This window comes from Homo sapiens, chromosome 14 (genome assembly GCF_000001405.40).
Source record: "Homo sapiens chromosome 14, GRCh38.p14 Primary Assembly".
Lineage (NCBI taxonomy): Eukaryota > Metazoa > Chordata > Mammalia > Primates > Hominidae > Homo > Homo sapiens.
In genome coordinates this window covers 81,159,319-81,172,640 of record NC_000014.9, presented here as the reverse complement: position 1 = coordinate 81,172,640, position 13,322 = coordinate 81,159,319, and the positions used below count along the sequence as shown (strand labels likewise).

The 13,322-nt window shown below is 42.4% G+C and overlaps 2 long non-coding RNA genes across 8 annotated transcripts in view, besides 2 other annotated features; one reads left to right on the top strand and one right to left on the bottom strand.

Moving 5' to 3' along the window:
• Window positions 1-805: 805 nt before the first annotated feature.
• Window positions 806-3,869, bottom strand: LOC105370594 (uncharacterized). Its single transcript, XR_944073.3, has 2 exons — window positions 3,838-3,869; window positions 806-2,980 (listed from the first exon to the last, which is right to left on the bottom strand). It is a non-coding gene; the product is annotated as an uncharacterized LOC105370594 (long non-coding RNA).
• Window positions 1,861-2,230: an enhancer, noted in NCBI's record as "active region_8824". NCBI's record gives its function as "activates an Ori minimal core promoter by ATAC-STARR-seq in GM12878 lymphoblastoid cells {active_cell/tissue: GM12878}" and the evidence as "EXISTENCE:reporter gene assay evidence [ECO:0000049][PMID:35858748]".
• TSHR-AS1 (TSHR antisense RNA 1) overlaps window positions 2,235-13,322 on the top strand; it is a 156,341-nt gene continuing 145,253 nt past the window's right edge. For 6 of the 7 annotated variants that reach the window (XR_001751022.2, XR_007064290.1, XR_001751018.3 and 3 more), the window contains exons 1-2: window positions 2,235-2,532; window positions 7,260-7,448. This is a non-coding gene — a long non-coding RNA (TSHR antisense RNA 1). Of the gene's footprint in view, window positions 2,533-6,386; window positions 6,529-7,259; window positions 7,449-13,322 lie in introns of those variants that run through there. The other variant, XR_007064289.1, reaches the window with a different exon arrangement.
• Window positions 2,451-2,510: an enhancer, noted in NCBI's record as "active region_8823". NCBI's record gives its function as "activates an Ori minimal core promoter by ATAC-STARR-seq in GM12878 lymphoblastoid cells {active_cell/tissue: GM12878}" and the evidence as "EXISTENCE:reporter gene assay evidence [ECO:0000049][PMID:35858748]".

Sequence of the window (13,322 nt, the reverse complement as noted above, 5' to 3'; positions counted from 1 at the left end):
TTCAGTGAAGACTTGGGGGTTGGCAAAGTAGTCAGTTCTGTTTTTGCCCTCTCCTAATAGTTCAATGAGTTAAAGGAAAAGAATGTTTTCACAGAAAAAAAAAAAAGTATGTTTGTTTGCTTGAAGGAGATCTGTCTAGCCTTACCTCATATCACTTCCCTTCTGGTGAATCTGATGGTGAAATAAGTTTATTCCTAAGAGAGCTCCCTAATGCAATTAAAGTGGGCGTGGCTTCTGCGGGTTTCATGGCAGGATGCATCAGGAATATAGAAACTTGGAGACAAATGTCCTGTGGTTATTGTTATGGTCTGAATGTTTCTACACCCCCAAATTCATATGCTGCCATTCTAACCCAAGGTGATGGTATTAGACGGGGTGTCTTTCGGCAGTGAGGGCATAATGCACTTAGGAAGAGACTCAGAGAACTAGCTAGCCCTTTCCACCATGTGAGAGTGCAACAAGGAACAGACTCTCACCAGACACCAAATCTGCTGGCCCCTTGATCTGGGACTTCTCAGTCTCCAGAACTCTGAGAAATAAATGCCAATTGTTTAGAAACTACCAATTTCATGGTATTTTGTTACAGCAACCTGAACAGACTAAGACAGTTACTGAAAAACCCCACTTTAAATATGTGAGCATGGGAGCCCACATTGCTGGACAGCCTCATGGTAAAGCTATCAAATCCTGCTCTTGGCATATTTTGCAGTAGTGTTGTGCCCAGGGAGGGGGGCAGTCAGTCCTGGGGGACGGGCAATAAGGAGGTGAACTGCTGGCCGAGAACATAAACACAATCATTATTAAATTGATTACATGTAGTGTGCTTTTTATTATTACCATGTGCCAGCAATCCTAAACTATGTCAATGATAGAACACCTTCCCATAAGAAATAATTTTTTGTTCTAACTGGTCTAATTGTTACAGTTAGTGTTACAGTTAGCGTTGAGAGTGTTTTTCCATTTTTTTTTACTGTGATAAAATATGATTACCATTTTAGCCATGGTTAAGTGTACAGTTCAGTGGCATGAAACACATTAATGTTTAGTTTTAATAAAATATTTGTTAGCTTCATTTTTTTTTTACATTTCACATACATGAAATAAGCCAATCACAAAAAGATAAATACTACACAATTCCACTTAAATGAGGTTATCTACAGTGATCAAATTCTTAGAAACAAAAAGTAGAATGGTGGTTACTCCGGACTGGAGGAAGCAGGAAATGAGAAATTGTTCAGTGGATACAGATTGAGTATCCTCTCTGAAGATTTGTATATTTAAAATTTTTTTCTTTATCTGATTGAGTTGATTTGAAGAATCAGTTTTTGAGCTCTGAGATTCCACAGCTTGATCTATTCCTCTGTTAATGCTTCCAACACTATTATGAAAATTTTGTAGTGAATTTTTAAATTCCAGTTCAGTTTGGTTCTTTTTAAAAATGGCTATTTTGTCTTTCAATTTTTGGGTCATTTTTACTGGATTCCTTGGATTGGGTTTCTACTTCCTCTTGAATCTTGATGAGCTTCTTTGGTATCCAGATTCTGAATTCTATGTCTGTCATTCCGGACATTTCAGTCCTTGCTGAGGGGCTAGTATGCTTATTTGACGTTTTGAATTGCCAGAGTTCTTGTGCTGACTCTTTTGAGAGGGCTGGTGTTCCTTTGTCGTCTTGTTTTTATATTATTCATTTACCTTGAGGGCTTAACTGTGGTATATGTTGAGTATAGTCAATTGGCTTCATTTCTGGATACTTTCAGAGGGCCAAGGCTCTGTATGGGATCTTTGTGGCTAGATTCTTGCTCTGGGTTTTACAGGTGCTCTATACTGGCAGAATATTTTGAAATTGTAATTTCGGCGGCAAACCAGTAGATGGCGCTTAAGAGTAATTGCCGGCAGGCTCTGACTCAGCGCTGGCTCTTTGGTATTTTGTATTCGCAGTCATGCTCCATAGTTCAGGGGAGAGAGATGATCCTTTTGCCAAGTCCTCTCCTGGCCCTTAGAGGAGCCCCCTCCAATCACTGGAGCTGCACTTACGTTTCCTTTGTTAGGTGTTCGGAGCTGTGGGGGCTCTCTCCGGCAGAGGCTAAGGCTTGCAGACAGGCCGCAACCCTTCCCTGAAAGGCCCTGAGAGAGACAAGTCTCATCCCGCGCTGGCCCACGAACTGCTTCTCACTCCTCCCAGTGTTCTGAGTGGAGGCTCCTCCCCCGCGCTTGCGCACCAGCCACAGGTCTCAGCTGGGCACTCCTGAGCTCTGTGCTGCAACCTTGGGGCATTGGGCTCTGTCTTTCGGCCCCTCGGGGTCAGACCCCTGCTGTGTTGGGGGATCCGAAGTGCTCCCAAGCTGCCTGGAAAGCATTCAGGCGGGGTCGCTAGCAAGAACTCAGGCTGGGCAGCGGAGGCGGCACAGTGCACACACTCCTGCAGGAACAACCAGACAGGGGCTTTGGGAGGGGCTGCGTGCAGGGGGTCCCGCAGAACATATGCGCCCCAGTCCCGCAGGAAGGACCGCCCTGCTCTCTCTTGGCTCACTGGTAAGTTGAGGTCAGATGGGGAGCCTTGGGGGATAGGCGCCTATAGCCACCTTCCTCTGCAGCTGCCATGCACACAAAACCCCCTGGGCTCCCTGCAACCTGGAGCTCTGTCTCTGCCTACTCCCTGGGCAGATCCCCCTGCCAATTCAACTGTCTGTGGGGGTCATAGGATCTCTTATAGCTGGGATCCCAGAAATACGTGAGGAGAGTGGGCTGCCCCACTGTCACTTTACTCAACCCTTCCCTAGGAAACGTTCTGGGCCTGGAACTAGTCCTGGCACTCACCCCGCGCAGGGTTCCCAGCTTCCTTCCTCTTCAGCCTCGTGTCTGTGTGGCCGCTCTGTGGACTCAGCGTTTCACTGCGAAGATCTGCTCAGAGTGTGTTGGTTTACGGGATATTTTGGTGTCTCGGTGGGAGCAGCACTTATTGACTGCATCTGTTATTTTTCTGGGAAAAATCATCTAATCAAGATGTTTCTGGGAGCAATGTAACACAACAATTCAAACGCAAGAAGGCATCTCATCTTGAGCAAATAAATAGGAATAATGCCAAATGCTTTTTATGTCTCAGACACTACACATGTATGAATCTTTAAATAACCCAATGCACTACGCTTTAGATTTCTCCCCATTTTACAGATAGGAAAAGTGAGGTACAGAGAGATTGTAGACTTTGCCCAAAGTCACACAGCAAGTGAGTGGTGGAGTCAAGTTGGACCCAGTCTGACTTCGGAGATGACTACTTACCCATTAAGAGCAGGTTCCTCATTAAAAACGAGGATAAAGACCTTGTTAGTGTATTCAGAGTACTAAGGGGAAATAATTCAATCTAGGAACCTAGACCCAGCTAAAAATATTATTTCAGTCAGGATGAAATAAAGATATTTTAAAATAAAAACTGAAAGTGTTTATTATTTACAAGTTCTATCCAGGCAGAAAGACCTAGTAAACAATAAACTTTAGAAAAAAGATTATGGAAATTCAAAAGAGGATGAAAGAAGAAATGGAAAACAAAGAAATTGGTAAGCATGAATAGGTCAAAATATTGACTGTGAGAGAAAAATTAGAATGTTAAGTTTTAAAGGAAAGTGGAAGAAATATAATGCATAACAACATTAAATTGCTTCATGAATTGTAGACAATAAAGACTTCTGTGGGAAAAAACCACACTCAAACTCAAAGTGCTTTTTCTATTCTCTCTCTTAACAACAATCAACACAGAAGATGTCTGTGACCAAACTGGGGTGGAGGTGTTCTTCCTGCTACTAAGCAAGCAACAAATTCTACAATTCTGTTGTGGCTTACCTGGAGATAGCATCAGATCCCACATGTTGAGGATTCATTCCCACAAGACTGCCCCTACTTCACATGTCAGTTGCAACTCCAGGCCTCCAGAATTTCTGACCAATCAGCTTCAAGTTGGGGTTTTCATAACTCCCTCTTTGGGTTCAATTAATTTGCTGGAGTGGGTCAAATAACCCAGGGAAACATTTATGTTTACTGGTTTGTTATAAAAGATGTTAGAAATGATACAGATGAAGAGAGGCAAAGGCAAGGTAGGGGAGAAGGGGCATGGAGCTTCCGTGACCTCCCTGGATATGCCACCCTTTAGGAACCTCCATGTGTTCAGCTATCCAGAAACTCTTTGAACCTTGGTCTCTTGCTTGAGCCTTTCATGGGAACATCATTGAATAGGCATGACTGACAACTGTGTAGAAATGTGATTGGACAAAAAGAGTATGGTCTAATACTCATAGACTGAGAGGGGAAACCCTGTAAGGCCTGTCTGTTCAGATTCCTTTTGGCCCCTCTGTGTAGGACTCCTTCTTTTAGGGTATGGGGCAAGATCACTTCTGAAATGAGGGTCTTACGTCCCACAGTCAGACAAGGTAGGTCAGAGAATTCCTTTATGGCCAGCGCCAATATAGAAAAACAAGGAAGATTCCTCACTTGGAGAGAAAAAGGAGCAGGTGCAAGGAGGGCAGGAGAGGAGCAGAGAGACATTCTGTTTTCTCAGGCCTGCTTCTGAGCCCTAAAGTGCTCCACCATTATACCAAGAGCTATTGGAGTTATGAGCCAGGAACATGGATGGAAACCTATATGTAAAACCACAAACACACAGTAATAACAATATACCAGGATCCTTTAAAGAAACGAAGACATCTTTAAGCTTTTATTTCAGTTTAGTCGTCTCTCTTCAGAGGGATGGCCCAATAAAACTTCCTTACATATAAAGATAAAGCAAAAACTCAAAGAATAAAATAATGATGCCAAAAATGTTTTTTGTTGATGCCACCATTATTACCCTCCTAACCCGAGTTGATTCTACTTGGAAAATGCACACTTTGCTTATTTCATTTTTGTTTTTTTACCTTGCACTGGTGGAAATCTAAGATGACAAAGACAGTGTTCCTATCTCTTTATGCATTTTCACTTATATTCATTGATTTAGTCCAGGTAATTCTTTTTTTTTTTTTTTTCTTGAGAAGGAGTCTCACTCTATCTTGCCTAGGTTGGAGTGAGTGCAGTAATGCAACCTCGGCTCACGGCAACCTCCGCCTCCTGGGTTTAAGTGATTCTTCTGTCAGCCTCCTGAGTAGCTGGGACTACAGGCGTGTGCCACCACACCCTGCTAATTTTATATTTTTGTATTTTTAGTAGAGACGGGGTTTCACCCTGTTGGCCAGGCTGGTCTCCTGACCTCAGGTGATCCACCAGCTTTGGCCTCCCAAAGTGCTGGTATTATAGGTGTGGGCCACCGTTCCTGAACTAGTCCAGGTAATTCTCATAATTTTATTAGTTAGATAGCATTAATACAGGTGTCAAAAATGTCAGAATTATTTCTTTTAAGAAAAAAGTGTTGTGAAGGTTTCTTTATTTTCTTTTCTTATACATTAGGCATTAACAGTGATTTCCTGTGTAATTTGGGAATGTTTATTGACAGTAATGTGTATTACGGGAAGATAAATTCTATTTTTTCATGAAATGGCTGTCGTAGAATTATAATTATTATTATTTTGTTGTTGTTGTTGTTTTGAGACAGAGTCTTGCTCTGTCGTCCAGGCTGGAGTGCAGTGGCACAACCTCGACTCACTGCAGCCTCCGCCTCCTGGGTTCAAGCAATTCTCCCACCTCAGCCTCCCTGAGTAGCTGGGGTTACAGCCTCGCATGAGCACGCCTGGTTAATTTTTGCATCTTTAGTAGAGACGGGGTTTCGGCAAGTTGGCCATGCTGATCTCTAACTCCTGGCCTCAAGTGAGCCACCCGCCTTGGCGTCCTAAAGTGCTGGGATTACAGGTGTGTGCCACCTCACCCACCCATCAAGGAATCATTAAAAAGAAGGAATCTAAGACTATTTTAAAAATTTCTCTCAATGATTTAATATTTGGGTTTTATGTATTTTATTCCATTTTAGCACTGTGAGATAGCATGATTGCCTAAAGGACTGTATTAAAGATGAGTGCACAGTTCTGTCTTATTTATCTGCTGTCACATTGTTTTGACACAGAAGAAAGTCAAGTAACATTGATGAAGAGCTAAAATATGCTCTAACTGTGGAAAAAATAAATATAAATTGTCCATAGTTGCTCAATTTCTAAAGTAAAAGGAAAAAATACAGTGTAAGACTGTGAATTAGTTCAGGAAGGTAAACTTAAGTAATGTTTATTTAACTTCAAGATTTCAGTGGCTTAACTCAACAAAGGTCTGCTTCTTCTGCATGTCACGGGACAATGCTGGTTGGTATGGATGGCTCTTCTCCATGCAGTAATTCAGAGACACAGGCTTCTTTCATCTAGTGATTTATTTTTCCCTGCAGCTTCAGATACTCTTTTTCCCTCTCTCTGGGATCCTTTGCATCTGTCTGGCAGATATGGAGACGGAAAGCACAAGAGGATTGTGTTAGGAGTCTTAAGGGCTGGATGTGACACTCCTTGAAAGGGAAGCTGGGGAATGAGTATGTAGGTGTGTGTCCAGGATGTAGGGAAAATGGGTTTGGTGAGTATACATGCTGGTGTTTGCTATAAGAGAGCTAATCATGACTTTGTTTTGCAAGTATGAAAAGTGTGAAAAAGATAACATGAATGATAAAATCAGGCATGGTCACATTTATAATTGATCATTGATGTTTTTTCCAAGTTAATTACTTCTGTGATTTCTTGATAGCTATCAGCATGAGCCCCATTGCCTAAACATGATCTCATTTATTTATGTGTTTGAACAATTCATATTTTTTTATGTTTTGTAGAGATGGGATCACCCTATGTTATCCAGGCTGGTCTCGAACTCCTGGCCTCAAGTGATCCTTCCACCTTGGCCTCCCAAAGCACTGAGATGACAGGCCTCTGTGAACCACTGTGCCTGGTCTCATATATATGTATTTTTAATATGCAGCTTGCTTCTTATTTATGTGATGAGAAGAGAATAAATGTCACATTATTTTAGTTGAAGAAGTTCGTCAACATTTTGTCTTTTAAATTTAATTCACCTATAAGTTTGTATCGTCTTCAACCCTGTGTTTAAACACATAACATTCTTTAATAGACACCTAACAATTTACAAACACCTCATGCTCCTCCATGTGGCCTGGGGAGTGCACGATGATGCTGGCCAGCACTAAGTTCTTCCACCTATGAACTTTGAATTCTGCCTTTGAGCTTTCATAAATGAAGAAAGCTATCCAGCAAAGCAGATGTTGAGCAACTCTTCATGTCTGCCTACTCTCACAGGTGGGGACAGCACTTCCTGGAATAACGTTGCTTTGGATTTAACAACAGTTGGGCAAAGGAGGTCGGTATACAGATACAGGACAAGAAGAGTGGTGTCAAAGGGAGGCTAAATCATTGGTTCTGGCTTCATCTAAGGAATTCTTATGAGAAATCGAGGGAGAGACTGTCCTGGGAAGTCTGATGAAACATGTAAGTTAATAGGCTGCAAGAATCATTTCTATCTGGTGTCTTTCTTTCCTTACATTTATTTCTGCTCCTTGACTGTTCACAGGTGACTTGAAATCAGATTGCCCTATCCTTTTTGAAAAGGGAAGCTTGTTTTCAATCCTCTGAGTAGTTTGTAATGGTGTGAGGGCAGGGAGGTAGTACAATCTATCACTTTCCAACTTTTTACTTTTTTAATTTTTAAAATAAAAAAATTGTTTTTGAGACAGAATCTCACTCTGTCACCCAGGCTGGAGTGCAGTGGCACAATCTCAGGTCACTGCAACCTCTGCCTCCTGGGTCCAAGTGATCCTCCTGCCTCAGCCTTCCGAGTAGCTGGGACTACAGGCGTCCGCCACCATGCCCAGCTAACTTTTAAATTTTCAGTAGAGACGAGGTTTCACCATATTGGCCAGGCTGGTTTCAAAATCCTGACCTCAGGTGATCCACCCACCTTAGCCCCCCAAAGTGCTGGGATTACAGGTGTGAGCCACTGCACTTGGCCTACCACTTTCCAATTTAATGATCATCAGATGGGATAAGCAATATTGGAGAGTTTTAACTAAAACAAGAAGGTACTGCTGGGTCCCATAGAATGTGGAAAATTCCATTAGTTGGTGTTTTCTGGTTGTGCTGGGGGCCACACTAACATGGATGGGTATGACATGTTACTTATGTTAGAGATAAATGCAGAAAGGTAAAGAAGCATGACCAGTTCCAGGCCCACACATTGCCTGGCAGTGGTCTGTGAATCGGCAGTGGAGCAATGAGTCATTATCACAATGTGCTGGCTGAGAGGTACAGGGACATGTCAGTTACAGAGGCACTGCTGTGGAGAGAGGTCTTCCTTGTGTTTCAGCTGTGCTGCCTGTAGAGGGAGACACTGCTCCTCAGGTAAGGATTTAGAGTGTGGCATCAGCCAACTGTGAATATGTCAAGTGGGCCCTAAGTCTCTGGCAAAAGGAAAAGGGAGAAAGATAGGTTTTCAAGCAGCTCTAGCAAGGAGTCTGTGCCGCATGTCCCAGATCAAAACTACTTATCTTTCCTCCTCCTTCTTGTCCATTTGTTTTGTTCCATTGGTTGACAATGACCCTTCAGTTTGGCAGGTTCTTGGCCTCACTCACTGACCTAACAGACTTACTAAGTGTCTGTAATAAGCACCTAATGACGCAGGTGTATTTCATTAAGATTCTTCTTCTTCTTCTTTTTTTTTTTTTTTTAAATTCTTCACAGAAAGGTCATTTCTATCTGGCAAAGAACAGAAGAGCTTTGTTTTTAGGTCATGTTAACCTTCCTCATATTTGAAAGAAAGGTTCATCCCTTTGCCGTGTTTTGATTTTGAGGATGAGTCTGCTCTGTCCATTTTGGGCCATTACTGCAGAGCTCAGCTGCCCAACAACTGGACTTATCTAGGTCACAGGGGAGAACATAGATGTATGTAAATAAAACACGTAACTGGTCAATATTCATGTTAATAGCTTCAATCCTAGTGTGAAGACATGTGTATTTGACTCATGGGAGAGAACCTTTTATGCTTACTTTACACAAAGTAAAAACTAAAATGATCTGTTGATTTACTAATAAAATCAGGCCCAGATTCAGGTTGGCCAAGAAGCTAGACACTCCATAAAGAGAAAGGTGCCTAAACTTTAAAACTTGAACTTCTAGTCTTCTCCTAGTCTTCTCTATTGCCAGCCTTTGAAGGCAAGGGATTGACATTGATAAGGGCGCTGATACTATACATTATGGTTAGTGGGTTAGGCTGTTGGATTAATGGGATTAACCTGGCTACTGGCTGATGGTGGCCCAGATGCAGAAGTAAGAGTAGAAATTTCAAGAGAGAAATCACAAAACTTGTCAAACTTCCATAAGATATTGGGTATCACCAAGACAGATGTTAAGTCTCCCAGTACAACATTGGAGGTTGGAAACATATCACAATAGGACAGGACAATCACTTTCCCAGCTAAAGAGTCACGAGGGCAGAGTGACTCGCAGGAGAGCTAGAAAGGTTCCCAGCAAGATAAGGAGGCAGCCTTGATGTGGGCCCCAATGCCCCAAGCATGACTAAGGGCATTTTGTAAGACCAAATATTGAGTGGTGTCACTTCCTCTTTATTCTATAATCCCATGAGTTTTTGAATATTCTTAATCATGGCCGGTGGCTGTTGTACCCTGGTGCTTGGCAATGTCCATCCAGGGCAAGGGTACCTTTTTCTAATTTGTGCAAAGGTTCAATATGGGCTAGCTGTGACCCTACCTATGACTTCAGAGAATCAGAGAGGAGTTATATGCCCGTAATGGGGTCATATGATTGTTAAATTTTTTTAAAGATATGGGGGTCTCCCTCTGTGGCCCAGGCTGGAGTGTAGCGGCACAATCATGGCTCACTGCAGCCTCAAACTCTTGGGCTCAAGTGATCCTCCTGCCTTAGCCTCCTGAATAGCTGGGATATAGGGGCATGCCACCACACCTGGCTAATTCTTAAATTAATTTTTTTTTTAATAGAGATAGGGTGTTACCGTTTTGTTCAGGCTGGTCCTTGAACTCCTGGCCTCAAGTGGTCCTCCAGTCTCAGCCTTCCAAAGCATTAGGATTATAGGCATGAGCCACCATGATGGCTTTGGGTCAAATGTTAAAGGGGGACCAGGGCTTGCCTGAGGTCATTGATAGTTCATGAGAGAGTCCCACGAGGATGAGACTCTTGTGCTGATGGAGTTGGAGCTCTAAGGCAGACCTTCACACCTTGAACTCTAAGTCTCAAGTGTGTTGCAAGTGTGCCTTGAGGAAGCTGGTCAAGGTCTGGGGAAGCCAGAGCCTCTGTACTGGTCACCTCTGGCTGGGAGTACCCTTGTTCATTTACCTAGTGTGTGTGCAATATGATTATATTCTCAGAATGCCATGATGTGAACAAATTTGGGGAGCACTGCTATAAGATATTACTTTACAAAGGACTTGGGTTTGATATCTTGAAGGAAATGTGTGGTCTTCCTTATACTTGGTTATCTGGTTTCCAGAACCAGCACACTAATATTAGAAAATGATGAAGTGGGAAAATGTTTGCTGAAGAACTTTGAGCTACAACTGGATTCTAAGCCAGAAGTCATGGAGGACCCTGCAGTGAATGGGCACTGGTTGCTGCAAAGAGTGGCTCTGGAACATAGGACAGAATATGATCTGTTTAACTCAGAGCTAAGTAGCTGTGATAGTCTCCAAAACGGACCAGACCACTCTTACTCCTCCCAGTGCTGGCACTGTGTGCCTATGACATACTCTCAGCTACTGATGACATGGTTATGCTGATTCTCTCCTTGAGCTGCCTCCCAAGCCCTCCTCCTTTTTATTTTCTTTAATCATCTCTCTCTCTCCCTCTGTCTCTCTCTTTATTAAGAGCCAGGGCTTCCATACATAGTTGTGCAGTGCACAACCCACACAACTCTGTGCTAAGAGCCTTGATGCTCTGTGCTGTCTACTGAACACAGGTCAAACTTGATAGCCTGTCATGTAAGATCCTGGATGATGCAGCTTCAGTCTATCTGAGTCAGTGAAGAGGCTGGCAGAAAACAAATGGTCTCCTCAAAGAGTTTGACTGAGGAGAATTTACAGACTATTTACAAAGAGGTGAGTGGGGTGAGAGGAACCAATCAGGGATGGTGAAACACTTAGGAATTAGCCATAGCAAAGCGGTTACCACTCCTAAGGCTGAAAGGACAGAAAAAACAGGGGATGATACTGAACCCCGGAGCGAACTTGGAGTCACAGAAGACAGGAGCTATAACTATGGAGCTAACACTGGCTTAGTAGTTAAGAAGCAGGGAGGGAACCGGGGATAAATGCCCATGTATCTCTGCCCTTGTACTCTGATCTCAAGCCAGAGCCCCGGTGGCCAAACCCATTGGAACACAGAGGACAAAAGGGCATGCACGATGCAGTCTATAGTGGTCAGTCCCTGCAGGGCAGAAAAGTTGGGGAATGCCTGTAATTGGGTCAATTACAGGGAGAGTAACTAGCATATTGCCTTCCCTCCTTCCAGCCCTCTCATCCTGTATGCTGATTCCTTTTCCGAGCAGTACCACAGCCTTCGCACCTCTGTCATTTTGTTCATGCTTAGGCCTCTGTATGGAATGCTCTTTCCTGCACCCTCCTATATTTATACATTTGAAATCCTACTCATCTTTAAAATCCCAGCTTAGAGGTGACCTTCTTAAAGATTTCTTTGATCCCTCAAGTGGAATCCTCTAGGGCAGGGACATCTATGGCTTGCAAAGCCTAAAATATTTACTTTTTTTTTTTTTTTTTTTGAGACGGAGTCTCGCTCTGTCACCCGGGCTGGAGTGCAGTGGCACAGGCTCACTGCAACCTCTGCCTCCCAGTTTCAAGCAATTCTCCTACCTCAGCCTCCCAAGTAGCTGGGACTACAGACACATGCCACCACGCCCAGCTAATTTTGTTTGTATCTTTTAGTAGAGACAAGGTTTCACCATGTTGCCCAGGCTGGTGGCAAACTCCTGAACTCAGGCAATCCACCCCGCTAGGCCTCCCAAAGTCCTGGGATTACAGGTGTGAGCCACCGTGCCAGGCCAAAATATTTACTCTTTAGCCCTTTACAGAAAATATTTGACAGTCCCTGCTCTAAACTTGTGCTATTCACTATGGTTGCCATGAGCTATGTGTGGCTATGGCACATTTGAAATGTGGGTAGTGAGACTGAGAAACTGAGTTTTCAATTTTACTTCATTTTTATGAATTGAATTTCAAGTTTAAAAAAACAACACTCAATTCAGTTATGAAAAACTTTTAAGTCTGTTTAGAGCAATTTGGGTTTGCAAGTCTTTTTTTTTTCAAGTGTACATTTTACAAACTTTGAATGTGGCTACGGTATTTCTGAAGAAAATTTAGTTTCCAAATTGCCATGTGTTTTAAGTGTATACTGAATTTTCAAGACTGAGCTAGAAGAAAAGAGAATGTAAAATATCTCATTAATAATTTTCATATTGATTTTGGGTCAAAATGATATTATAATAGTGGGTTAAAGTATATTATTAAAATGACTTTCACTTTTTTCTTTTAACCTTAATTTTTTTAAATTCTTATAGATTCAGGAGGTACATGTGCAGTTTTGTTACATGGCTATATTGTATAATGGTGAGGTTTGCACTTCTAGTCTACCCGTCACCTGAATACTGAACATTGTACCCAATAGGTAATTTTTGACCTTTGCCCCCTCCGACTCTCCCCAGTATCTATTATTTCCCACTATATGTCCATGTGTACCCCTTGTTTAGCTCCCACTTATAAGTGAGAACATGTAATATTTGACTTTCTGTTTCTGAGTTATTTCACTTAGGATGGTGGCCTCCGGCTCCATCCATATTGCTGCAAAAGACCTGCTTTTATTCTTTTTTAGGGCAGCATAGTATTCCATGATGCATGTATACCATATTTTCTTTCTCCAATCATTTGTTGATGGACAGTTAGGGTGATTCCATGCCTTTGCTATTGTGAACAGTGCTGTGATAAACACAGAGTGCAGGCATCTTTTTGATAGAATGATTTCTATTCCTTTGAGTAGGTACTCAGTGGGATTGGTGGGTCAAATGGTAGTTCTACTTTTAGTTCTTTGAGACATCTCCATACTTTTTCTGTATTCCCACCAACAATGTATAAGCGTTTGTTTTTCTCCACATCCTTGGCAACATCAGCTGTTTTTTGATTTTTTAATTAATAGCCATTATGACTGGTGTGAGATGGTATCTCATTGTGGCTTTAATTTGCATTTCTCTGATGATTAGTGATGTTGAACATTTTTCATGTTTGTTGGTTGCTTGTATGTCTGAAGAAATGTCTGTTCATTGTTTAT